At 39.3% G+C, this 25,955-nt stretch overlaps 1 protein-coding gene across 2 annotated transcripts in view, besides 3 other annotated features; it reads left to right on the top strand.

Annotated features, from left to right (window-relative positions):
- The window catches only part of BACH2 (BACH transcriptional regulator 2), a 370,316-nt gene that overhangs the window by 124,827 nt on the left and 219,534 nt on the right, over positions 1-25,955 (top strand). The gene's annotated exons all lie outside the window — the stretch shown is intronic.
- Positions 14,204-15,403: an enhancer, noted in NCBI's record as "CDK7 strongly-dependent group 2 enhancer chr6:90866333-90867532 (GRCh37/hg19 assembly coordinates)". NCBI's record gives its function as "activates an origin of replication core promoter dependent on BRD2, BRD4, P300/CBP, MED14 and CDK7 cofactors, with strong dependence on CDK7, by STARR-seq in HCT116 cells {active_cell/tissue: HCT116}" and the evidence as "EXISTENCE:reporter gene assay evidence [ECO:0000049][PMID:35650434]".
- Positions 15,437-15,581: an enhancer, noted in NCBI's record as "145 bp 6:90866227 sequence used in MPRA reporter constructs". NCBI's record gives its function as "activates a minimal TATA-containing promoter with rs7774138 allelic activity by MPRAs in C283T melanocytes {active_cell/tissue: C283T}" and the evidence as "EXISTENCE:reporter gene assay evidence [ECO:0000049][PMID:36423637]".
- Position 15,509: a transcriptional cis regulatory region, noted in NCBI's record as "rs7774138 or 6:90866227 MPRA-significant variant associated with a GWAS melanoma risk locus at 6q15". NCBI's record gives its function as "allelic transcriptional activity by MPRAs in C283T melanocytes {active_cell/tissue: C283T}" and the evidence as "EXISTENCE:reporter gene assay evidence [ECO:0000049][PMID:36423637]".

Raw genomic sequence — 25,955 nt, 5'->3', positions numbered from 1 at the left:
CTTAAACGTAAGATTATATTTTTCATTTTTGTATAAGTTTATGTACAATTTCTTTATATCTGTTTACCAAATCACTCATTCCTACTTCAGCTGCATCTATTTTGGTATTGGACTTACTCATGTGAGTCTCTAAATATAATTATTATATTTTCATTTCTAGAAGTTATTTTTGGCTGTTTCTTAAATCTGCCTAGTCATTTTTGAAATCTTCCTTGTTCATATTTTAAGATCCTGTTTACTTTTTTAAAAATGTTAAACACATCTATTTTATATCTGTGTTCAATACATTCAATAGCTAAAGCCTTTGATGATTTCATTCTGCAGTTTTGTTTTTTCTCATTCATGTTCATGACAGCTTGATTCTTTGTTTTGTGATTTTTGATTGTGAACTTAATTACTTGGAATTCTTATGAAAATCTCTTGAAACTTAGATTTAATATTCATTATTCTAGAGAGGCTTTGTATTTGCTTCTGCTATGTGTTTGTAGTCATTTCCAACTCAGGACTTTTTACCCTATTTGGATTTGGAAAGGGCACATGGATATGTAATTTCTGGGCTTTGTTTTTGTTTTTTTGTGGGGTTTTGTTTTTTTTTTTCTTCTTGAGACAAGAGTCTCACTTTGTCACCCAGGCTGGAGTGCAGTGGTGAGATTTCAGCTCGCTGCAACCTCCACCTCCTGGGTTCAAGCGATTCTCCTAGCTTGGCCTCCCAACTAGCTGAGACTACGGGTGCACACTACCACACCTGGCTAATTTTTTTGTATTTTTAGTAGAGACGGGGTTTCATCATGTTGGCCAGGCTGGTCTCAAACTTCTGACCTCAAGTGATCCTCCTGTCTCGGCCTCCCAAAGTGCTGGGATTACAGGCGTGAGCCACTGCACCCAGCCTGGGCTTTGTATTTTTTGAGGAAATTTTCTTCTTTTTTCTCCTCTCCCATCACCAAGACTTATTCTGTCTTCTATTTCTGGGAAGATTTTTTTTTTTTTTAATTTACCCACTGAGGATTTCATCTTTCAAGGGTATTGGCTTTGACCTTCCTGTGTGGACATTAGGCTGTCCCTTTGTCTCTTAATATCCCCATCAGGGATTGACTTATGCAGGACTTACCTACTTACTTCTCTAGGTTCTAATTTCCTTGTCATTTTCAACTTTTAACAATTGCTGTTACTTTCTTGCTGCTTAGCCATATCTTTAAAAATATTTTTAGTACTCAGCATTTTTAGGCATTCCACATGAATTTGCCATGCTTGACAATCAGAAGTCCTCTTTATTTGAAAGTTGAAACATTTCCTGGAAGAGGAGCAATAGTAAATTAGTTAGATCCTTGCCATTCATGGATTTCACTACAGTCAAAAAGGTAACTTTACATCACAATAGAATCATATTTTACCTACAAAAAGTAGTATTTGGTTTGTATAAATATTAATGTTCAAGATTTTGTCTTTTTTTCTTTGGTCTTCTAAAATGGAGTTACAAAAAGGTCTTTAAGAATCAGTCACTCATTTACTGACTTTTCAACAAATACTTGTTGAGCCCCTACATTTTAGGTGCTGGAGACAAGATGTATCAGTGATTAAAGCAGACAAAAATTCTTGCTCCTACTGAGCTTACATTCTGGTTGGAGGAGATGGACAGTTAACAAGATAAATAGGTAAAGTGTATAGTATGTTGAAAAGGTGATAAGTGCTGAGGGAACCCTGGGGCAGGTAAAGGAGAATTGGGAGCTGTTCTCATTATTCTTTTTAAAATAATTTTATCCCAATAGTAAGCAATATTATTTATTTTTTAAAGAAGATATTTTAAAAGTAAGACCTATATTAACTGAAGTTTATGCAGAAAGTTCCTTTAAATATTCTACTACAGCATTATTCCTAAACTTGTAAAGGTTAAGTTGCAATTGATGTATACATTTGTAGAAGTTTCTAAATTAGAAAAAAAAAGTGTTTTATAATTCCTTGGACACTTGTTTAGTAAGAAAGTAAATGAATAGAAATATTGATCACAATAGAACTTCAACTATACGATGCCAAAACTTGTAAAAAATCCTCAGGTTTTAAAAATAGCATGAAACTGGAAAATGTTTTTTTCTGCCCACCAATTCCCACAAAGGCAAAAACAAACAAAATATCCAGCAACAACTGACTATCAAAGGGGGCTAAATATCTGTTAGACTTAACTCACTAGGCTGGTTCTGAAAGTCCCAATTGGTGAAGGTATAAAAGCCCATTCATTTCTTTAGTGCAAAAACTGACAAACAGGGCAAAAGTAACCAGAAGGGAACAAAGAGAGCAGTGGAGACCTTTAAAGACGGCAGCAGTGTACACCAGGGTGCAAAGCAGCAGGCACTGTTTTAAAAGGAGCACCGTTAATCCAGAGACTAAAGCTCTGCAGACCAAGAGCAAAGCACCATTTATAGCTCAGTTCCCACAAGGGCATGACCATGCTCTATTACAAGCACATCAGCTGAGGGACAGAGAGTCTATTATTAAACAATTGTAGTGGCTACCCGCAGGAAGTGGGGTGAATGTCTGGGTTAGTGTCCTGACACCAGTGACTTCATTGATCCAACCTGTGCAAGTATCAGGGAGGGGGTCAGAATAGGAGGAGTTATTGCAGAACGTTATTCATGAGGGAGTTTTTCATCATTAAGGCATCATCCAAGACTCCATTTTTACTGTTGTTTATGCTTAGACTTTTCTTCACAGTAAAAAATTGGGGAGACTCTCCATCTTCTTGTAAAGATAAAGAACTCTGAAAAATACATAAATCACTTTAGTGGTTTTTCTAATTGTAAAAAATAACAGATGTTTATTGGGAAAAAGTTCAGAAAATCTTTTTTTTTTTTTTAATCACCAGTAACCTGAGAGAAAGCAACTGTTAACATCTTGTTATATACCTGCAGCTCCAAACTGTGTGCCAAGATGCTCTGGGGCACCACAGCAAATTCTGGGTGCAGCTCTAGGGTTGGCACAGATACTTTCCATCATTAAGGGAAACATCGTACAACACTCTGCCAACTATTAGCTGGAGATAGTTCACAGTTTCAGCATTAGATCACACTACATTCCTTTTGATGACATCATATCTTTACAAAACCGAGTTTTCAGTGATTGCTGAGTGTTTAGTGATAAAAAGTGTATCACATGAAAACCAGCGTGGAACAGGAAATAAGGTAGTGGTGTCCAGCGATTCCAAGATTTAAAGTTATGCAGTGCCCAACAGGTGTATACATTCTATAAACAAGTTATAACAAAGTTACTTGAGAAGGAAATAGTAGTTTTCATTTATGTGTGTTTTTTTTTCAGCTGCTAAATCATTCTGACATAAATAGTTATTATGTTGTTTGGATCTAACTACTTAACAGACAGCTCTATTAGGTATTTGTTTGGGCCTGGAGGCATTGTGAAAAATTACTGAGACTCTAAGGGCTACCAGAATCATTTGGGAACCTCTAATACAGATCCTTTCGGACCTTCCCCTATATACAACCACACATATTTTTGAAACCTATTGTTTTCTTTGGGTTAACAATATATTGTGGAAATCTTTGCATGTCAATAATATGTGGATCATTATTTTAAAATTTTAATGGCAGAATAGTTTTCCATTGTTTGAATTTCCATGTTTTTTAACCAATCCTTTAATGTTAGAGGTTTAGTTAAACTTCACTTTTATGCCCTGTTGCACAGGCTGGAGTACAGTGGCATGATCATGACTCCCTGCATCCTCTGCCTCCTGGGCTCAAGCAGTCCTCTGGCCTCAGGCTTCCATGTAGCTGGGACTATAGGCACCACCACACCTGACTAATTTTTCTATTTTTGTAGAGATGGGGTCTCACTATGTTGCCCAGGCTGGTCTCAAACTCCTGGGCTCAAGTGATTCTCCCACCTTGGCCTCCCAAAGTACTGAGATTACAGGCGTGCAGCACTGCACCAGGCCTACTTTACTTTTATAATCAGCGGTGTGGTCAGCCTCTTTGCACATCCTCTTTGTTTATATAGCCAGTGATTCCTTAGGCTAGATTCCTAGAAAGTGATTTTCTAGGTCAAAGAATATGTACTTTTTAATGACTTTTACATCCATGTGTAAAATACAGGGAGAGAGAGCCCAATTGTCTTTTCAAAGAGGTTACACCAGTTTCTTTTAACCAAGTTTACAAGCCTACCTCAGCAAAAAGAAGTGAAACATTGGAGAACTCCCAAACATCTAAATTCAGATTTGTGAACTGGCCAAGCATGTTTCTCTTTCTCAATCATTGAATAAAGTGAATGAAAGCTGGGGAAATGTGTACTTTCCAGGAGCGCCTGGGAGCCCTTACAGATGAAGCTCCAGCTGAAGTCAGAGGTAGCTGATAGCAGGCCAGGCGCAGTGGCTCATGCCTATAACCCCAGCATTTTGGGAAGCCAAGGCATTTTGGATCACTTGAGGTCAGGTGTTTGAGACCAGCCTGGACAACATGGTAAAACCCTGTCTCTACTAAAAATATAAAAAATTACCTGGGCATGGTGGCAGGTGCCTGTAATCCCCAGCTATTTGAGAGGCTGAAGCAGGAGAATTGCTTGAACCCAGGAGGCAAAGGTTGCAGTGAGCTGAGATCATGCCATTGCACTCCAGCCTGGGCAACAAGAGCGAGACTCCATCTCAAAAAAAAAGAAAAAGAAAAAAGGAGGTAGCTGATAGCAACATCCAAAATGACACCCACCTAGGGAATAGGAAAACCATTTGCAAGGAAACTTCTCCAGCCTTGGTTCACTAACTAGTTTTTTAAAACATTTTACTCCTTGCAAAGCCATGCTCTACCACATAGCTTCACTCTACCTCTGTGAGGAAGAGGCAAATGATACAAATAGGAGTTGACATCAGGAATTTTTTGAGAGGACAAATTTCAGAATACTGTGAGGGTCAAACAGACTCCTTCCTGTTCCATGGTCCACAGCACATAAATTTATTATTATTATTATTATACTTTAAGTTTTAGGGTACATGTGCACAACGTGCAGGTTAGTTACATATGTATACATGTGCCATGTTGGTGCGCTGCACCCAGTAACTCGTCATTTAGCATTAGGTATATTTCCTAATACTATTCCTCCCCCCTCCCCCCACCCCACGACAGGCCCTGGTGTGTGATGTTCCCCTTCCTGTGTCCATGTGTTCTCATTGTTCAGTTCCCACCTATGAGTGAGAACATGTGGTGTTTGGTTTTTTGTCCTTGCAATAGTTTGCTGAGAATGATGGTTTCCAGCTTCCATCCATGTCCCTACAAAGGACATGAACTCATCATTTTTTATGGCTGCATAGTATTCCATGGTGTATATGTGCCACATTTTCTTAATCCAGTCTATCGTTGTTGGACATTTGGGTTGGTTCCAAATCTTTGCTATTGTGAATAGTGCCGCAATAAACATACGTGTGCATGTGTCTTTATAGCAGCATGATTTATAATCCTTTGGGTATATACCCAGTAATGGGATTGCTGGGTCAAATGGTATTTCTAGTTCTGGATCCCTGAGGAATCGCCACACTGACTTCTGCAATGGTTGAACTAGTTTATAGTCCCACGAACAGTGTAAAAGTGTTTCTATTTCTCCACAGCCTCTCTAGCACCTGTTGTTTCCTGACTTTTTAATGATTGCCATTCTAACTGGTGTGAGATGGTATCTCATTGTGGTTTTGATTTGCATTTCTCTGATGGCCAGTGATGATGAGCATTTTTTCATGTGTCTTTTGGCTGCATAAATGTCTTCTTTTGAGAAGTGTCTGTTCATATCCTTTGCCCACTTGTTGATGGGGTTGTTTTTTTCTTGTAAATTTTTTGGAGTTCTTTGTAGATTCTGGATATTAGCCCTTTGTCAGACGAGTAGATTTCAAAACTTTCTCCCATTTTGTAGGTTGCCTGTTCACTCTGATGGTAGTTTCTTTTGCTGTGCAGAAGCTCTTTAGTTTAATTAGATCCCATTTGTCAATTTTGGCTTTTGTTGCCATTGCTTTTGGTGTTTTAGACATGAAGTCCTTGCCCATGCCTATGTCCTGAATGGTAATGCCTAGGTTTTCTTCTAGGGTTTTTATGGTTTTAGGTCTAACATTTTAAGTCTTTAATCCATCTTGAATTAATTTTTGTATAAGGTGTAAGGAAGGGATCCACTTTCAGCTTTCTACAAATGGCTAGCCAGTTTTCCCAGCACCATTTATTAAATAGGGAATCCTTTCCCTATTTCTTGTTTTTCTCAGGCTTGTCAAAGATCAGATGGTTGTAGATACGCGGCATTATTTCTGAGGGCTCTGTTCTGTTCCATTGGTCTATATGTCTGTCTTGGTACCAGTACCATGCTGTTTTGGTTACTGTAGCCTTGTAGTATAGTTTGAAGTCAGGTAGTGTGATGCCTCCAGCTTTGTTCTTTTGGCTTAGGATTGACTTGGCGATGCGGGCTCTTTTTTGGTTCCATATGAACTTGAAAGTAGTTTTTTCCAATTCTGTGAAGAAAGTCATTGGTAGCTTGATGGGGATGGCATTGAATCTATAAATTACCTTGGGCAGTATGGCCATTTTCACAATATTGATTCTTCCTACCCATGAGCATGGAATGTTCTTCCATTTGTTTGTATCCTCTTTTATTTCATTGAGCAGTGGTTTGTAGTTCTTGAAGAGGTCCTTCACATCCCTTGTATGTTGGATTCCTGAGTATTTTATTCTCTTTGAAGCAATTGTAAATGGGAGTTCCCTCATGATTTGGCTGTTTGTCTGTTATTGGTGTATAAGAATGCTTGTGATTTTTGTACATTGATTTTATATCCTGAGACTTTGCTGAAGTTGCTTATCAGCTTAAGGAGATTTTGTGCTGAGATGATGGGGTTTTCTAGATATACAATCATGTCATCTGCAAAGAGGGACAATTTGACTTCCTCTTTTCCTAATTGAATACCCTTTATTTCCTTCTCCTGCCTAATTGCCCTGGCCAGAACTTCCAACACTATGTTGAATAAGAGTGGTGAGACAGGGCATCCCTGTCTTGTGACTGTTCTCAAAGGGAATGCTTCCAGTTTTTGCCCATTCAGTATGATGTTGGCTGTGGGTTTGTCATAAATAGCTCTTATTATTTTGAGATACATCCCATCAATACCTAATTTATTGAGAGTTTTTAGCATGAAGCGTTGTTGAATTTTGTCAAAGGCCTTTTCTGCATCTATTGAGATAATCATGTGGTTTTTGTCTTTGGCTCTGTTTATATGCTGGATTATGTTTATTGATTTGCGTATGTTGAACCAGCCTTGCATCCCAGGGATGAAGCCCACTTGATCATGGTGGATAAGCTTTTTGATGTGCTGCTGGATTTGTTTTGCCAGTATTTTATTGAGGATTTTTGCATCAATGTTCATCAAGGATATTGGTCTAAAATTCTCTTTTTTGGTTGTGACTCTGCCAGGCTTTGGTATCAGGATGATGCTGGCCTCATAAAATGAGTTAGGGAGGATTCCCTCTTTTTCTATTGATTGGAATAGTTTCAGAAGGAATGGTACCAGCTCCTCCTTGTACCTCTGGTAGAATTCAGCTGTGAATCCATCTGGTCCTGGACTTTTTTTGGTTGGTAAGCTATTAATTATTGCCTCAATTTCAGAACCTGTTATTGGTCTATTCAGAGATTCAACTTGTTCCTGGTTTAGTCTTGGGAGGGTGTCTGTGTCGAGGAATTTATCCATTTCTTCTAGATTTTCAAGTTTTTTGCGTAGAGATGTTTGTAGTATTTTCTGATGGTAGTTTGTATTTCTGTGGGATCAGTGGTGATATCCCCTTTATCATTTTTTATTGCATCTATTTGATTCTTCTCTCTTTTCTTCTTTATTAGTCTTGCTAGCAGTCTATCAATGTTGTTGATCTTTTCAAAAAACCAGCTCCTGGATTCATTGATTTTTTGAAGGTTTTTTGTGTCTCTGTTTCCTTCAGTTCTGCTCTGATCTTAGTTATTTCTTGCCTTCTGCTAGCTTTTGAATGTGATTGCTCTTGCTTCTCTAGTTCTTTTAATTGTGATGTTAGGGTGTCAATTTTAGATCTTTCCTGCTTTCTCTTGTGGGCATCACAGTACATAAATTCTTATCTGTGACCAAATTACCTAGCACATTTTGATCTACATTCAATTTGTACACATGAGCTGGTGTCTTCAATTATAAGTTATTAAGGAAAAAGTATATTATGTGTCTTAGACTGTGATCGTGGAAGCACAGATATATGGTACATTTTAGAAATATTTCTATTTTAAGAAAATTTTGGAGCCCTTCAGCTCTCTGGGAAACTAAGCTGTATAGAACGCCTCATTCCCAAAGTATCCTGAATGGATAAAATTTGGCTGTAATTTCACAGGATGGGAATGTATAGTATCTTTTTCTTTTTACAATGAAGATATCATCTACCTTTAGTCTTGATTTAAAATATTTTTAAATCAATTTTATAATTTTATAAAATAGTCTAGATTAATGCTTTTTGAAAAATCAGGGCTTAGCTGCTTCTGAAAAGATGAATGTACTCTTAGGGGTCCACATTTGACTTTTTTCCAAATTCAAATAAAAATTAGTGGGGCAGGATGTTAAGCAGGATAACTCTACTTAAAGCAGAAAATCTTTAAAATTTTGGTGTAGATAAATTAAATCTGTGTTGTAAATACTTATCACTTCATTGTTTTTACCTGCCTTCCATACATAGTACCAAGGACTTATTTTCACTTATATCAGAGGAGAAGTAAAAAAACGCCACTGTGGTCTGTTTATCAAACAATTGCTACAGAGAGGGCCTTTCCCCTTTTGTGTAGAAGGAGAATGTCTGAGCTGTTGGAAGTCTTCATGTGACTCTCTACTGCCACGAGATATTTTCTTTTAAATCTCCGCTAGAGAATTCTGCCAAAGTCTGGTGTGTTTGTATGCATCATCTTTAGAGAAGTTGACTGTATTGAGAGAGGGGTGATTTCTGCCTTTATCTGAGATGGGTACACTTAGGAAAAATAAGCTTTTCGGGAACTTAGGAAAATTTGAAGGCCATATCAGTTATTTTTATTTGAGTAGCAAAGTTCTCTTTATCATCTTTAAAAAACCAACTACAAGTCCGCTTTCAGAGCACTAGATGTGTTTGCAGATTTCGGAGACACACGCCAGAGTGTGTAGCGTAATTACTTAATCCTCATCTGTCATGCCCAGAGCAGTGTTCCTTCAAGATAAAAGAATGGGCAGCATCAGAGATGTCTGGGTAGTTCCTTCACCCCTGGATTTTAAATTCAGAAAATCATGATCATTCTTTGCTTGCTTGTCCTTAGAAAATTAAAATGCATATTAGTAGACAAATCTCTGGTGTCTGAATTTTTTGTTTTTATTTTATTTTTTATTTTTTGAAACAGGGTTCTTGCTCTCGTGACCAGACTGGAATGTAGTGGCATGATCACAGCTCACGGCAGCCCCAACCTCCTGAGCTCAAGTGATCCTCCCACCTCAGACTCCCAAGTAGCTGGGACCACAGGTGTGTGCCACCACGCCCAGCTAATTTTTAAAAAATTTTTTGTAGCAGCAAGGTCTCACTATGTTGCCCAGACTGGTCTTGAACTCCTGAGCTCAAGCAGTCCTCCTGCCTTGGCCTCCCAAAGCGCTAGGATTACAGGCATAAGCCACCACACCTGGCCCTGGTCTCTGAATTTTTTGTGATAATCAGGAACTTTCTTTTAACCCACACCATTTTAATTATATATTCACCGAAAGAACAAATTTTCTGATAGATGAGAGCACTAGTAATTTAAATAAATTTAGTCCTATGCTCATTGACTTATTCAACATTTATAAAGCTCCATCAATTTATAAACATTGTCCAGGCACAAGACAGTATGGCTCCTGCCCTTAAGAAGTTTGATCCTATTGGGAAGCTTTCAAGAAAGCCAGTGTCCAAAAATCGTGAAGAAGCTCTGGGGTGGAGTCTGAAGACATTCTCTGGAGCAGCATTGTTGGGTCCGGCTCAGGGCTCAGAGAAGCTTCTCTGAGGAACTCCTGCTCAGTCTGAATCTCAAAGGTTATGTGGAAGTCAGAGTACTAATAGCCATGAAATCCAAATAAATTCATCGGCCAGAGGTTCCGCTTCTTTTAGTACACATTTTCAGACCTATAACCACCATCGAGACGCTGGTTGGTACCATTGTCTATTTGAATGGTGCCTTCTAATGGTTCCAGAGCCATCCATCCTGTCTGTGGTTGGCACTGGCATTGTGGGCCACTGGCCGTTGTCTGTTACAGGTTGCAGTGGAAAGGTAGGATGTTAAGCATTCTGAGTTGCTAAGCATTCTGATATTTTTTTTCCCCAGAATAATGCCAACTGATGGTACTAGGCCTGTATTACCTAGATTTAACTTGATTGGTTTTTAAGTGAGACCTTGAATGACTTTCTAATCAGTTGCTTAACTATGCCTAATCATGATGCTTTGTATACTCACACATGCAAATAAGCACATGTGTACTTTATTGTTTATATTTATTTAAAATAAATTCTGATGTTAGTCATCTGTGATTTGGGGCAAATCATGAATAGTGATATCAGTATTACCATTTGTAAGATGTGGTTAAGAGTAGCTGTAATTTACCTAACAGGGATTAAATACTTAATGTTTGTAAAGTGCTGTGTTTCATTAGAAAAAATATCATTATTATGGTCATTAATATGATTTGCAAATCATTAGTACCAATCACAGATAATACACCTGCAAAAATAATCACATTTCTATACAAACCTCAGTTTAGATAGCTTTAACTTTTTTTAATCCCAAACTTTAATTGCTGAGTTTTTTGGGGCACAGTGCCTAAAAGTATATCTTTTTTTTCCTTCCAGTTAGATCTGTCCCATTGTAAAAGGGCTGTGTAATGATTTGGCTTCTTTAAGGGCAAAAATCCTTTTTTTTTTTTTTTTTTGAGACGGAGTCTCGCTCTGTCGCCAGGCTGGAGTGCAGTGGCCCGATCTCGGCTCACTGCAAGCTCCGCCTCCCGGGTTCAAGCAATTCCTCTGCCTCAGCCTCCAGAGTAGCTGGTACTACAAGCGCACGCCACCACGCCCAGCTAATTTTTGTATTTTAGTAAAGATGGGGTTTCACCATGTTGGCCAGGATGGTCTTTATCTCCTGACCTCGTGATCCACCGGCCTCGGCCTCCCAAAGTGCTGGGATTACAGGCATGAGCCACCGTGCCTGGCCCAAAAATCCTTTCATAAAGACCATAAGTGGTTTAAGTGAAGACTCCAACTTAGATGTCGTCTCCATGGGGTTCTTTTGTCTCAAGAGAAACCAAGTCTGAAGAACCATATAGTCTGACTGAAAATAGTGTGGCCTTTTTGGAATGCTTTACAGAAATTTCTAATTAAGAGGTGGTGTTTGTCTTAGGTATACAGACACTGTTTTTGAAAAGTCTGCAGTACAAAATTCCCATTTAGTTTATTTTTAGCTTGAGTCTACTCTGCTAGTAAAAATAAAACTATTTTTGTACGTGCTGCTTCTAGTACTTAGATCCTCATTTTAAAAGAATTCACAGAAAACAGTCCATAGTGATAACTGTGTGCACTGGCCAGATTGTTATAGAATTGTGTTTTAAATAAATGTTATGATGGCTGCATTTTAGCTGCATCACAGGATCCAGCTCACATGATTCCTGTCCCCTACAGCCCACACATGCACATACACAAAGGGCCTCATCCCCGCCTTGCTTACTTAGAGTAAGGACTTGGCTTATCTAATTTCTGTATTTGTCCAGTGTGCAAGTGCTGACTGTCCTTTGTGTATTGTCTAAGGCCTCACGTGCACAGAGAGATACTGAATACATGTCTGTGATGACGGTTCCCCTTAAGAGATGATGGACTGCTCTTTTAGGGAGTTGTGTGTTTCTATGGTAACTCCCTTTTGAAAACTTCAATTTTATCCACATATATTTTGCAGATACTGAAAGCAAGCTTATGTTGAATTTAGAGAAGCTTTAAGTTTTTAGGAGGAAACTGCAGCTTATCAGCAGATGTCAAGAGCATACATACTTTGAAAGCTCGTTGAAAAAAATTATGATTCCTTTTGTGCTTGACACTTACCAAAAACCAATGTTCCATTCAGATAATCTTTTATTGTCAGTTTTTTATGCTCCTTAGGGTAAAAGTCACAAATATATACACAATTTGATAAAATTCAAAAGGAACAAAATAAGCACTATTCCTCCTTTGGCCTGTATCCGCCTCTTTCCCATCCCCAGTTTTGTACAGTACAATGTCACTAGCTTATTGAATTAGATTTACTTTAATCATCCATTTCCTTTTCTCCTGGTTACCACAATAGCTATGGGCTCTCAGTTAGCCAGCTACATCTGATCTAGAGAAAATAGGTTATGTCCCTATTTTGAAAAGAGAATTATCTGCATGGCTCAATGCTTTGTGTATTTAATAGTTAGAATTCTGGAAGAGATGTGGACTTCCTTCCTGAGCAATAAAATATATGTATAGTGACCATTTCTTAATTCTCTAGAGAATGCAGACAAAGGGATTTGTGTAGTCTATGAGGTCTGCGTATATAAAAGTTTTCCTTTGCCTTTAGTTGCCTTATTTTACTTTTAGGATGTTTTGTTTCTTTTCTTATACTTCCATATATTTTCACTCTTTTCCCTTTCTTTCTGAAACACATATTCAGTTGTCTTAAAATCAAATCAGCTGTGCAGTGGATACTGTATTTGGCTTTTTCCACATGTGTTAATTGTTCTGTTGGCTTGTTTTGTTTACTGTTTTTGCAGACCTGATTTGCCATGGTCCGTGCCTTTCATTCTACTAGACCACGTAGTTGATTTCCCAGTAGGGAAACGATTCTGCTGTCTTACCCAGTAATTAGTTATCTCATTTCAAAAGAGACAAGTTTATCTGAGAGGACTTTGTCACACGTTAAATGTCTGCTTTAGAAGATAGAGCCCATTTAGTTACTTGCCCATCCATGTGGTAAAAGAAATGCATAATTAGTCACCATGGAAATTAAGTATTTGAAGGGCAGAAGATGGTTAATTCGACCATTTATACTCAGCTATTGAGAGATTATGATGTAGTTTATTAGTGCTAAGAAATCAAATTAAGAGATGATATTTTTCAGCCCCATGAGGGAGTGGCAGTGTTGTTTATTTCTGAAGCATATTTTCATTTGCTGAGAGAGGACTTTGTGGCACTTTCCCTTGAATAGTTTTGTGTAACCTCTTGCTATGTGAGTAAGTGCCCCCCCCCCACCAAAAGAAGACACAGAGGGAGACTGAGTTCTGCCATCTCCATATCGTTACCTCCCTAGAATAGGAGAGGGAAGTAAATTCTGGACTCTGCCCTGTGCTCCTGGGTCTTTTCCCATCCCCCAGCTCAACCACCCGTCTCTCGTTACTTACTACACATCATGAAGCCCCTGCCCAGGCCCCTGATCCTGTTCAACCCTGTCTCAAAGCCACGCTCTTCCTGATGTCCCTTTCCTAGCTTGGCCTCTTTAATTATTTTCTTCCTGTCCCAATCAGTTATGACTGTGTGGCTTCATCTTTCAACCCCGCTCCTGGGTCTACCTGTGCCTTGCCTCCCACACCTGCCTTTCTTCTCGATGAGATAGTGTAAGTGAAATGGCTAGAAGTATGCATTTTGCAAGGAAGGGGAATGGCCATTTGATAGTCACACTACATTGTGCACCAAGGCATTTTAGAGCTTTTGTTTGTGTAAAACTTTATGTGAACAAATGGTCTAATATTTTTAAAATTTAAAAAGATGTTTGTTAATCTTATCTTCTGTTGTATACAACTCATATGGACTGGCTCCTGCCTACCTCTTTAGCTCCGTCTTACTCCAAGCTCACCCTCACTGTCTTCCATCTGGGGACAGTTTTTGAATGTGCCATACCCCATCCTTCTACTTGGCCACTGCTTGTGCTCCCTTTGTCTGAAATGTTTCTCCATGCCCCTTCCCCAGCAGCTCCATATCCCTTCATCAGAGAGGCATCACCTCCCCCTCAGTTAACGCTCTCATGACACCACATACCTTTCCAACATCGCACTTAATACAGTTGCAATTTTATCTTTATTTGTATAATTATTTCATTAATGTCTGCCTTCCTCATTATTGTCTATGTGCAGGCAGTTCCTGGTCTCTGTGTTTCTAGTGATCAGTACAGGAGTGGACATATAGTAGGTGCTCAATGAATACCTTTCAAATGACCATCGTGGATATCTCCAGGGGCTCACTCAATGGCCATTAGCCCCTTTCTAGCTGGTGCAACCCTGATTTGGTTGGAGTATTTCCTCTCCTCTAAGCGGCCATCTGCTCGGGCAGCTGGTCCCAGCCCCAGTTCCTGATCCAGTGGGTGAATTTGTTGTTAGATATACAAGATCTGGTCATCAGCTTGGCTCATGCACAGCGGTATGGGTTTCCCTGGAACCTACAAAATAGGACCGAAAGATGGAAAGAACCCAGGCCCTCGAGGATATCAGTGAGCTGTGGGCTAAACCAGTCCTGGGTTGGCTTTACTTCCAGGCAACTCTGTCGTGTAAAATAATAAATTTACTTACTGTTTAGGTCAATTCAAAGTTTTTTGCTTCTGAAAATAATCTGATGCAGAATATCATGAGTGAATGAATAAATTAACAACCCAATCTCACTTCTTCACAAATTTTTGTGCCCTTAGAGTTCCTTTGTAATTGTTTTCTCTTTTCTCATTTCTGTGAAGTGTTGGTCTACCAAGTGAATATGTTGATTGGCATTGAGCCCAATGCTAAATCCCAAATAACTCATATGTTTCGAAAAGTGTTTCCTTCCACTAAATGCCCCACACCTGGAATGTGAGCTCGTATTCTTCTTCACCTCTTGCCCTTTGGCTCTGCACTTTGTTCATACCTTTTTGGGGCAAGCTCTTCTCTAAGGAGGTTGAGAGTCAGGTTAAGTCATACCCAGCAATTTCCTGTTTGTGAGCCTTGAAGCTCTTGAAGAGTGCGGCAGGTTTGACAGAATCTGTAGGTGTTGTCAGACGTGAGCTGATTCATCCCCTTTGGTAGTTAATTCTCCAAAGGTCTCATCTCCCCAGCTACCATCCCTTCTTCTCTCTGGATGCTGCACAGTTCTTCTTTGTGTGAGGATGAGATTTTCAGGGCCGCCTGGGTCATGTATTCCATGTCTTTTTTGGGTTTTGGTGCATGTATTTTAGACCCTACTTTTCTCCATTTTTATGCAAGAGTTACTCCGTGTTGTTTCATAGCATTTTTGTTGTTGTTGTTCCTGCAGGGCTTTGAATGGTCCCTGTGAAATCTGCTGCCTTTCTTTTTCATAGTCCTCCACCTCAGCTCAATATAACACAACTTAGCCTAAGAAATGCAAGGCCCTAAGTAAAGACCACCTGAAATGCCTACTTGTTTGGTAGTAGAAACTTTGGTGTTCTCTCATTATTTTCTTTATTTCCCAGCATATTGGCAATGAAAACTAGACAATCACCCATTTTTGTACAATGCTCCCCTGAAGTAAACCATGAGAGTGGGGCAGCTAAGTAACCCATCTTTGAGAATGTTATTTTTGGCCATGCCATGTAGAAAAAGGACTGAATTTGTAACCCAAAAACTTGCATTCTTAAACCAAAATAGGAACAGTCCCACTTTGGCCAACCACCCTGGGCAAGTAGCACACTCTCCAAGATTCAGAATATAATTCTTACTGCCTACAGGGGTTGTTATGAAAGTAGAGTAAGATGCAGTGGAAGTGTTGCTTATGCCTGGGAAGTGCTATACAAAAGTATTAAAATTGTAAGGCTATAAAGAAAAACTCTTGTGAAGCGTTTTTTTTACACCACTCGATACCTACCTCAGTTTCCCTCCCCACCTTCAGATATGCAAGGCTGGTCAGGAGGTTGGGCCCCATGCACATTGGGATTAGGTCCCCTGGAACTTTTCAGGTGAGTCACTGCTTCATCAGATAGCGGAACTCCCTCACTAACCTTGGAATTCCAATCTTTTTTAAAACTTTGGTGATTTCCATTGGGGAAAAAAAATCTCTTGTAGTTAGTGATGAGGCCACCTCAATTGTCATCTGAGAATAGGACTTTATGCAATATTGACAACCCATCCATGACTTTTTTTAGTCGGCCAGCATTTTTGCACACCTGCTTGTGCCAGGCATTGTTCTCAATGCATGGGATGTGTCTGTGAACAAAACAGACACAAATTGCTGCCCTCTTAGAGCTTCTATTCTATTGGAGGAAAACAGAAAATAAGCAATAAACAAGCAAATTATAGTAAGTTAGAAGGTGGTAATTGCTAGGAAAAAAATTTAAAAACAGAGCAGGAAAGAGGAGGGCCAATTTGGGGATAGGAAGAGGCTGCAGTTTTAAATTAGGTGCTTGTTGTAGGCCTCCTATATTTCTAGTCTTTTGTTATTGTTGTTGTTTTTACAGAATGTTGTGATGATTTACTATTGCAAATGAATCATCTCTGTATAAATTAAATATTGCATGAAATGAAAGGAGTTCAGCTAAAGGCGAAACCTGATTGCTAAATGCTTGCAAAAGGATGGGAAGTTGCTCTAGCCCTTGCATGGCATTCTCAGGTTATCTATTCTTAGTTTAGTTTCCTTTTCCAAAAATGATGTTTATTATATAGTCTTCGAATGGAACATATCGCTGACACCTACTGCCATGTGTTTATAGTTAAACATAACTAGCCTCCCTTCTTACAAGACCAAGAGGTTCATCCAGAATGTTTCCCTTTAGAAGTCCTAAGAAGGCTCTCCTGGTTGGCTTTCCAGCCCATAACAGTGATAGATTTTGCAGCCTTCTTAGTCTAGCCATGTGGAGAAACCTGATGTTTTGGGTAATTCACCCCTTTAAACATGTGCTTTGTGTTTTGGTGGTGGTTGTTTGGGGCTGCGGTGTCTTAGGCATGGAGCTTATTATATCCATATAAATTACAGATCGCAGACACTCCGCCTCAAATAGCATTGGATTTATGATCCCTAGCTCTCCCTTTGCAGTGCCCCTTCTCCTCATGTCTGCTGTGCAACCTGACTTATGGTTGAGCCTGCTTCAAGTTCTTCCTGCCAGTTTGTCCCCTTTTCCGCAGTCTGCCTTGGTAGCTGACTGGGAGGGGCCAGCATGTGGGTTATCCCATTGTCTGTGGCTGTACACAAGAGGCTCTCAGTGGGTCTCTTTCTACGGACAGGACCCTGCCAAAGTAACACTTGTGCTTCCTGTCCAGTACTGACTAACGCAGTGCTATTCAAAAGGCAGGCTAGAACTAGGGCCATCAGAATGAACACGTTTTGAGCATTGGCAGATATACTTCCTCCCTTCCTGGCCTGTTGTTCCCCATCACTCACCAGATTCAGAAGGTGCAGTGCTCCTTGGGAGCAAGGCTGGGGCGCTTAGAGAGAGGGTCCCTTAAAGAGGAAGGGGGCTACCCTGGCTCATTATGAACTTTTTGGGTTCTGAACCTACCACTCATTATTCTGAATTGTGCAGCACATGTCTGTCACCTCCTAGTATAGAGTGGCCTTGAGAAAGTCACCTACTCCTTCTAGGTCTCAGTTTCTCATCTATAAAAGGAGTAGATTACTCTTCAAATGACCTTCAAAATTGCTTCCACTTCTAATTTTGTTTTAAGACACTATTGACTACACTTCTCCTAAAAATTGATCTTTTTGACGTGATTGGGCTCTTGAGACTTTTTTACCCTTTGTCCTGATCTGATTCTCTCCATGAATCAATTTTGTTCATCTCATCTGTCACTCTTCCTCTGTATGCTTTGTAACCTGCATTTCCTCTACTTCTGGCACTTTTTTGCCAATGGAACCTGCAATTCTACTCTGCAAATAGCTAGGGTTGTTTCCTCCCTCACTCCCAGCCAAAATACAGCTTTTATAGTAGTATCTCTGAGTAGGGAGTTGGGCTATTGAGAAAAACATGCTATAGCCCAAAGTCCCTATTTTAAAAGAGATAGAGATTGGAATGATATGTTCTTTTTAGGGTGTGGATGTTTTAGGCTCCAATGACCATAATCAAAATAGATCTATAACCAAGCCGTAAAAGGGTAATATATGTGAATTTTCTCATAATATGAATCCTAACACAAAAGCAGTTACAATACTTTAAGCGTAAATTACATAGTCTGCACCATGATTTTTTCAAAATTTGTCTTACGAACCTCAAGGAGGAAAATGTACCCCACTGGTTAGGAAAGAATTATTTTCTCTAGGTTCCATAACATAGAAGGAGTGTTTTATTTCCTCACTGCCTTGTGCCTGGGAATACTGAAATGATAGATTCAGCCATGTTTTAATAAAATTCCTCTGTAAGAATATTAGCATGGAGAGAGATTGGTATAAATACATGAATGTGCCTGGATTTTGAAGGTAAATCCTATAGCTATCAGATTGCTATTCACTTAATTGCCACAATCTAAAATTTATCTGTTAGTGTTTCTTTTCTAATTGTTACTAGTGTGATAAAAAGAAAAACTCTTATTTATATATAGATTATTTGTTTCAGGACATTAACTGAGAATATAGTATTGAAATGACTTGAAATTGAAGGAATCAGATTTTCTACTGCTTATTTATTCAGAATATAACTTACCCAACAAGGTCTGATTTAATTTATTTTGAGGAGTAGTATTTAGAAGCAGGATTACTCTTATTTAGGAAAAGAATCTGGATCTTAGATATACAGTGACTTGCCCAGAGTCACCTAGTAAATGAAAGAACTATAAGTCACCACTTGGGCGTGTGATTCATGATCTTGACTATGAATTGATACCAGTACTTTACATGAAATGGCCATACTCTGAAAATTATATTTTTAGATATAACCTTAATAAATATACTTGCCTTTCACAGAATATTAGAACCAATTCCTCCTTATCTTCATGGAGGAGCATACTTAATGATATATGTACTGATGAGATTTCGTCTTATTTTTAAAAACTTCCAAGAAAGAATGTTTCATAGCTCCCTTCATTCATCTACTCTGGTGCTTAATTAGATTTGATACGAGAACGCTTTCTTTCTTATCTAACTTGAATCCCTCATGCTGTAGCTTAAGTCTGTTTTCTCTCACTCTGCCTAGGATGCCAAAAGCAGCTAATCACCATTATCCATAGTAATATTCACAAAGTCCTCCTTATGTTTGAAATGTTAGCGCTATAACTGACAGTAAACATAACCCCCAAGTATCAGCAAATTATAAACTAGAGAAGAGGGACTAGCTTGTAGTAAATATAGATGACATATTAGTATTTAGTTGTGATGAATGAATAACACTAAATAACGTGACTTAAGCATTAAGCAGACTAAATGAAAGGCATTCTTCTGTTAACTCATTCACTTAAATATTTATTAGGCACCTACTTTGTGATGCTATGCTACATTCAAGACTTTCAATGAAAATGATTTTTAAAAAGTAAAACTTATTAAGTATATTTCTCAGAAATGTGAATGTACAATAGCCTAATATTAACAAGATAACCCTGTGCCTTATCTAATCATCCTGTGGAATTTACCCATATTTTGGAGGTGGGGCTGAAAAATAGTCTGATTATTAGAACATTTGTGTTTATATTTACAGCTGCCCTATTACTAAAATATGCAGTTGGCATCAAAATTTTACCATACACAGTCACTGAGCCCTTCACCTGGAAGCCTCTTTATTTCAGCATTACTGCTGAAGAGTTACCTGTGTCTTTCTGTGTGCATTTGAACATGTGTGAGCATGCAGCCAGTGTAGCACTACAAGATGCTTATCGCTAGAAATAAATTATAGAGTCGTGCAGCATGAAAATTATATGCCCGGGAATGCAGAACACAGGGTTACCTTCTGCCTCCTTTCTTTGTCATGGACAGCAGAGGCAGAAAGGAGAAAGAGATTTATTCTAAAGCCATTTGAAGCTGACCAAGCAATTTATAACAGATGAAATGCTGATTTATTGCTGCAGAGAAAATAATGGGTGTTCTTGCTAAAATGCCATTAATAGCTTTATTGTTTAAAGTGCAAATTATATTCAGCAATTTGTTAGTCCTCTTTTGAGGCAAAGTTGAAGTAATTCAATGTAGGCTTTTAGCAGAAAAAAGGACAAAGTAATTAACAAATCGTAAAAGAATTCATTCACCAAGATTGGCTGATAGTTGAATTCTCTGTCTGAACTATAAAGACATAGGGAAAATTTGCACTTAAGAAATACAAGATGACTCAAGTATTTGTTTAAAACTGAAAAGCCATAAGGAAGTTGGAGTTGGGACACTACAGATTTAGGAGTATGCCTTCTGTTGGTGTCCACTGTGTCTGCAAGATGTGGTAGTCAACCAGAGAAAAACTGAAAATCACATAGTTCCTACCCTTACAGATCTTACTGTCTTATGGCAGGAGCAGATAATATAAAATTAATTAAAATATATAGCAGAGGCTAGATGTGGTGGCTCATATCTGTAATCCCAGCACTTTGGGAGACCAAGGTGGGAACATCGTTTGATCCCAGGAGTTCAAGACCAGCCTGGGCAATGTAGTGAGACCCTGTGTCTACAAAAAAAATTTAGTTTTTAATTAGCCAGCCATAGTGGTATATGCCTGCAGTACAAGCTACTCAGGAGACTGAGGCAGGAGGGTCAGTTGAGCCTGGGAGGTCGAGGCTACAGTAAGGTGTGATTGTACCACTGTATTCCAGCCTGGGCAACAGAGCAAGACTCTGTCTCAAAAAAATAAAATATATAGCAGGAAAGGGTCAGTATTTCAGGAAAGGGACACACGAAATGATTCCAAGGAGGAAAAGACAACATTCAGAAGATGACATTTGTCAGTTTTAAAACGCATAGGATTTCTGTAGCCATGGTGTGGGTTATAAAACTGTTCCAAACTGATAGAATGCCAAAAAGTGGAAAGATCTATGCTAGTCAACACTGAGTAGGCCCTTTGATGCATCTGTTGCCATAGAGTGACAATAAATTCTAGTTTGCCTAGATGGACCCTGGTTCTACCTGTCTGCCTCGTGTAATTATTGATAGGTCCCTCTTCTACTCTTAAAAGTGTCCCAGTTTAATGGTGAATTATACAGTGACTGTGGTGGCCATGAAAATGCACCGCTCAGCTCTCTTGCTTTAGGCAACACCGCTGACTGACTGACTGACTGACATCCCAACTGCTGCCCCTCTGAACCCACCACTGTTTTGGCACCAAGGCTATGCTTCCCAAGGGCTACTCCCAGCCATTGACCATGCATGGTGGGGGTGCTAAGTAAGGCATGCCCATTCCAGCAACACAAGGGGTCCTCCACTGAGAAGCTTGGGCTCAAGCACTCCCCATTGACATGGCTAAACCCTTCTCGGAACTATGCTGCACTCCAAGACACTTCACAGCCTATCCTCCTTCCTTCCTCCTCTCCTTCCCAGGGGCCAGACCTGCATCTCGATCTGAAGGCTTTTCTTGCCTCCTCCTGCACCCTACCCCAAGAAATCTCTAGCACATCGAATCCCATGTTAGTGTCTGCTTCTCAGGACATTTGAAGTAATGAAGTGGCCGTAGTAATTGATAAGTGTTAGATAGTAGATGTGAATAAGACTAGAAAGTAAAATTGAGACTATATTGCAAGCAACTTTGAAAACTGCATGGAAGAATTAAAACTACCTTTAACTCAGTAGACTCTGAGGCTCCATTGAGGAGGGTTTATCCATTGTAAAATAATTATTATTTGGTCTTGCTGATGATGTAGAAGGGTAATTGAAACAAGGAGACCAGTTGGGAGGGTACAGCAATTGTCCAATAAAAGTCCAAACTAGAGTAGTGCATGTGATTATAAACACTGGCACGGGCATGAGAGACGCTGCAGGGGTGGGCTTGGTTGCTTATCACTGTAGACAGGGATAACTACAGAGAAGGCTCTGGTGCTAATCAAACCCCTCGGAGATGATCAGAACAATAAGAAAGGGAAGAGGAGGAGACCTAATGTTTTCATTAACCCTGCAGTGAGAAAAGTACTGGGGGCTTGAAGGAGAGTAATCATGTCTTGGTTTCTGCAAGTAGCTAATAGGTGATTAAGACCTCCCATTTAATGGCATCTGGACTGTCTGCTGCCCATTTCCCAGACCAAAGAGAGGTGATATTGCAGTGCCTGCTCTTATGCTCCTCCCTAAATGATAGCCAGGATAGCAGCAGCTCACTGTTAATGCTAAGGACTTCTGGCAGTTCAAGGACAGACTAATTGGAACCCAGTGAAAGATGCAGGCTGTGTTTTAGAAGGAAAGGACCCCACATTTCTTGATACCTTTAGAGCAGGATGAAAAGATTTTCATCTGCCTATATATCCAGCAATTGGATTTTTGTAATACCACTCTTCCCTTCTCTCCATCATGCACAGGGGGAGCTGGCCTTTCCAGTTCCATGAATATATCCTTTTGAATGTTTCGTTTATGCTGGATTTTACAATGGGCATCCCCCATGTTATTGACTCACCAACTGAGATGTTTGATGCAATAGAAACTCCAGATGCCTCAGCTGATAAGTAACCTGTATGAATCGAGATATTTCTCTCAGGAGATCAAACAGAGGAGACAATGTGTAGCACGGTAGGAAGAAGATGGACTTTGGAATTTATCCTGAGAGCAAATGATAGCTCTGTTACTTGCTAGCCCTGAGACCAATGCTAGTTATTTTAACTTCAGTGTCCTTAACAGTGAGTTGGGAGTACTGGTATTTTCTGAGTTCTTTTGAGCATTACATGAGTAAACATGAGCCTTTTACATAGAAGCGCTGGAAAAAAATGTAGGTTACTTGCCCCTTATCATATCTCTGTTGTCCTAATTTTCTTACGTTCTTATTTGTTCTTGTTCCCAAGCCCAGCATCACCTTGGACTCACACCTCTGTTGAACTCACACTCTCAAATCATACATCCGCATCACTTCCACTCCACCTACTTACTCAGCCCTGCTGGGGCAACCCTTAGCAGCCTGTGTCCCTCTCTTGTTCTGCCTGCTGGGATGCCTTGCCTAGCTTTTCTGAGGTCAGAACCTTCCCACTCTGGAAGCATTTGGTTCTTCGTCTCTCAAATGAGAGAAGCAGCTCAGGGAGCCACAAGGCCCTTCCAGCCCTGGTGTTTCATAGGTCCCTGTACACGAGACCACCACCTGATTGTGTTCCTTTTTCAAAACCTATTACTGATTTTTCTCTTTATCAAAAAACAACATGTTTTTATAAAAGATGTTTTCAAAAAAAGGCAAGTAAGGAAAGAATCAAAACACTTATAATTTTACCATTCCTGAATGTGTCTTACAGTCCTGACTGTAGGTGTGCGTGTATGCGTGTGTGTGTGTGTGTAAAACAGACACTTAACCATTACATTCCCACTTTTTGGTCACATCCTTTTAAATGTTGTAATCTCTTCAATTTTTACCATGTCACTTGAATATTCCTCTAGAGCATCATTTCAAGTATCTGTCTAGAATCCATGTATGAATGCTTCATGGCTTATTACTGGACATTTTTCCACCGTTGTCTAGTTTTTCCACTGTTGGAAACAAGGCAGAGCATTATGAAAAGTGCAGCAAATAGCATCTTCTGTGTATCTATCTTTTCAGATATCCTTGAAATGGAATTACCAGATCGAAAGGCATGCATATTTTTAATGTGTTTGGTACAATATTGTCATATTTCCCAGCTGAAAGGATGGACCTGTTCATTTCCTCCCCTCTGGGCATCTGAGGCTTTGACCACCTGGTTTCTGATTAGATCAGTAAGTCCTACTTGGGTACGGGAGAGAAAAAAATAACATTTTTCCTCACTTGGGTGGATGTGGCTCCAAGTCTCCTATGTTTTTAAACTCCTTGAATGGAAAATCTTCCTGGCTAGTGCACGATGCTTCACTATTTGTCAGCCATTAGCTCCTCTGCCTCCTGTAAATTGCCACCTTTAAGTCAATGAGGTGTTCCTTTAAAGTTGGACTGTTTGGGAAGAGCCTCTCTGTACCTCTGTCTCATCAAACTAGAGGATTTCATCTGTGTGTCTTTCTGTAATCTCATCTCATTTTGCAACAAGATTTTCTATTTCCTCTGTTATTGGCCTTTTGATTTAATGTTTTAATTTGGCATGTAGGTTCTTTGTATTACTGTTTTGGGTAATTCATGCCATTCTAGATAGAGTATTCTGTAAAAATTTTTTGAAACATCATTTTGTGAAAGATGTCTTACAGACCCAAATTATTTATTTGCAGAAACAAAAACAAGATGAAAAGCTGTGCACTTGTGATAACCAGATAACTTTATTTTTTCAATTACGGTGCTCAGGAGAAAACTGCCTGTTCTTTTATACAACAGGAAGAAGACAAGCACAATTTTTTTTTCTAATTGACTATCTGGCACATGGGTTGTTGCTTAAACAGGTTGATCATAGCACATTTCCTAATTTTTAGGGATGTGAACCCATATGCTCCTTAGAAGAAGACTAGGTGGGTTGGCCTTGCTCCTTCTAGACAATGAAACTACTGTTGTAGGGTACCCTCGTGCACCCGGGATCCAGGATACCAGCGAGTGGCTGCCGCGGAACGGCTCTCCAAGTGTACTGTTACGGCAGCATGTGGGAAGGCTTATGGTATAGTGATGTGACAAGCTGCGAACAGCAGATCAGAGAAAAACGTGAGATAATTTAATTGAGGAGTTTGGAGAGAGGACAGCTGAAGAGCAGAGAGCAGGGACGTGGCAGAAAAAGGCCATCTGAGGAAGGGATAAATTATGAAATAACATTCTGAGGACAGGGTGAAAAGGGTGCTTCCTCATTCTCTGGCAGTTTGGGTCAATTTCCTACCCTCAGATACTTTGCAATAAGGAAAATAATTTATTTTTATTACTGCCCCTTCTTGCAGTGGCTTTTTTTTAAATATTGCATATAGCAAGTTACCCATTTCTATGTAAGAAACCAACTTCCTCTTTTTGCTGGGTTTGGTACTTACTGTTTCTGCCATATTCTACCCTTTCGGGAAAAATTTTTTTCTTTTTTATTTAAGTAGCAGTAGAAATGAAAGAGTAGGATCGAGCTATGATATGTTCACTTTGACTTATCCTACGTCTCCTGGAGGCTACTGCAAGATTTTTTATTTCTTCACTGTCATTGGCTCTAATATCTGAAATGAATAGTTTTAATCGTCATTCACAAACCACTTGTAAAGTTAGTTTTAGAAGTTATTTCTTATAGTTTACTCCCAGAGTTTCCTTACAGGACAATTGTTAATTTAACATTATCCTATCTTTTAGTAAATCTTAATCCTAATATCTGAGTGCTTAAGAAACAACAAAGAGATCAAAAAGAGTTTACCTAGAAGTATTAATGTATTTGATTATTCACATTGAAACAATTCACCTACTAATTTTTCAATTTTCTATTTTGTGTGTGTGTTGAGACCAGTCATCTATTTAAGTATGTGTGATCATCTGGTTTAGAACAAGGTCTTGGAAGAGTTGACCATCAGTTATGGGTCATGGAGTAGTTACAGCCATTTCAGACACTTCTGATTTTATATTTCATTTTAGAAAACTTTCATATATGCCAGTGACAGAATCTGTGCCTCAGAATCGTATAGAATAATCAACTTTGGTCCTTGAGGACAGACACCACTGGAAAACAAGGATGAATACACAGAGCACACGCACGCAAGAGAGAGAGTGCTAAATAAATATACTTTGCTTTGTGTTGTGCTCAATTAACAGATGTGGTTTGTCCAAAAGGCAAGCCATAGGAATCAGAGTCATGACCTTGGTCAGTACATTATGTCATAGAGTTCAACAGAGTCAGGTAACATCACTTCTGCGGGTCATCTTTGGTCACACGTGGTGATGAAAGACTATTGATTCTAGCTTAGATTTAACCCCAAACCTCACTACCCCTAAATTTAATCTTAAAAATAAATTATTCATCTTTCACATCTTCAGAATTCTCTTTCTGTGCACATGCA

The sequence above is a fragment of the Homo sapiens genome, chromosome 6, assembly GCF_000001405.40.
Source record: "Homo sapiens chromosome 6, GRCh38.p14 Primary Assembly".
Lineage (NCBI taxonomy): Eukaryota > Metazoa > Chordata > Mammalia > Primates > Hominidae > Homo > Homo sapiens.
Note: the sequence above shows the minus strand (reverse complement) of the source record. Positions and strands in the feature narration are given on the sequence as shown.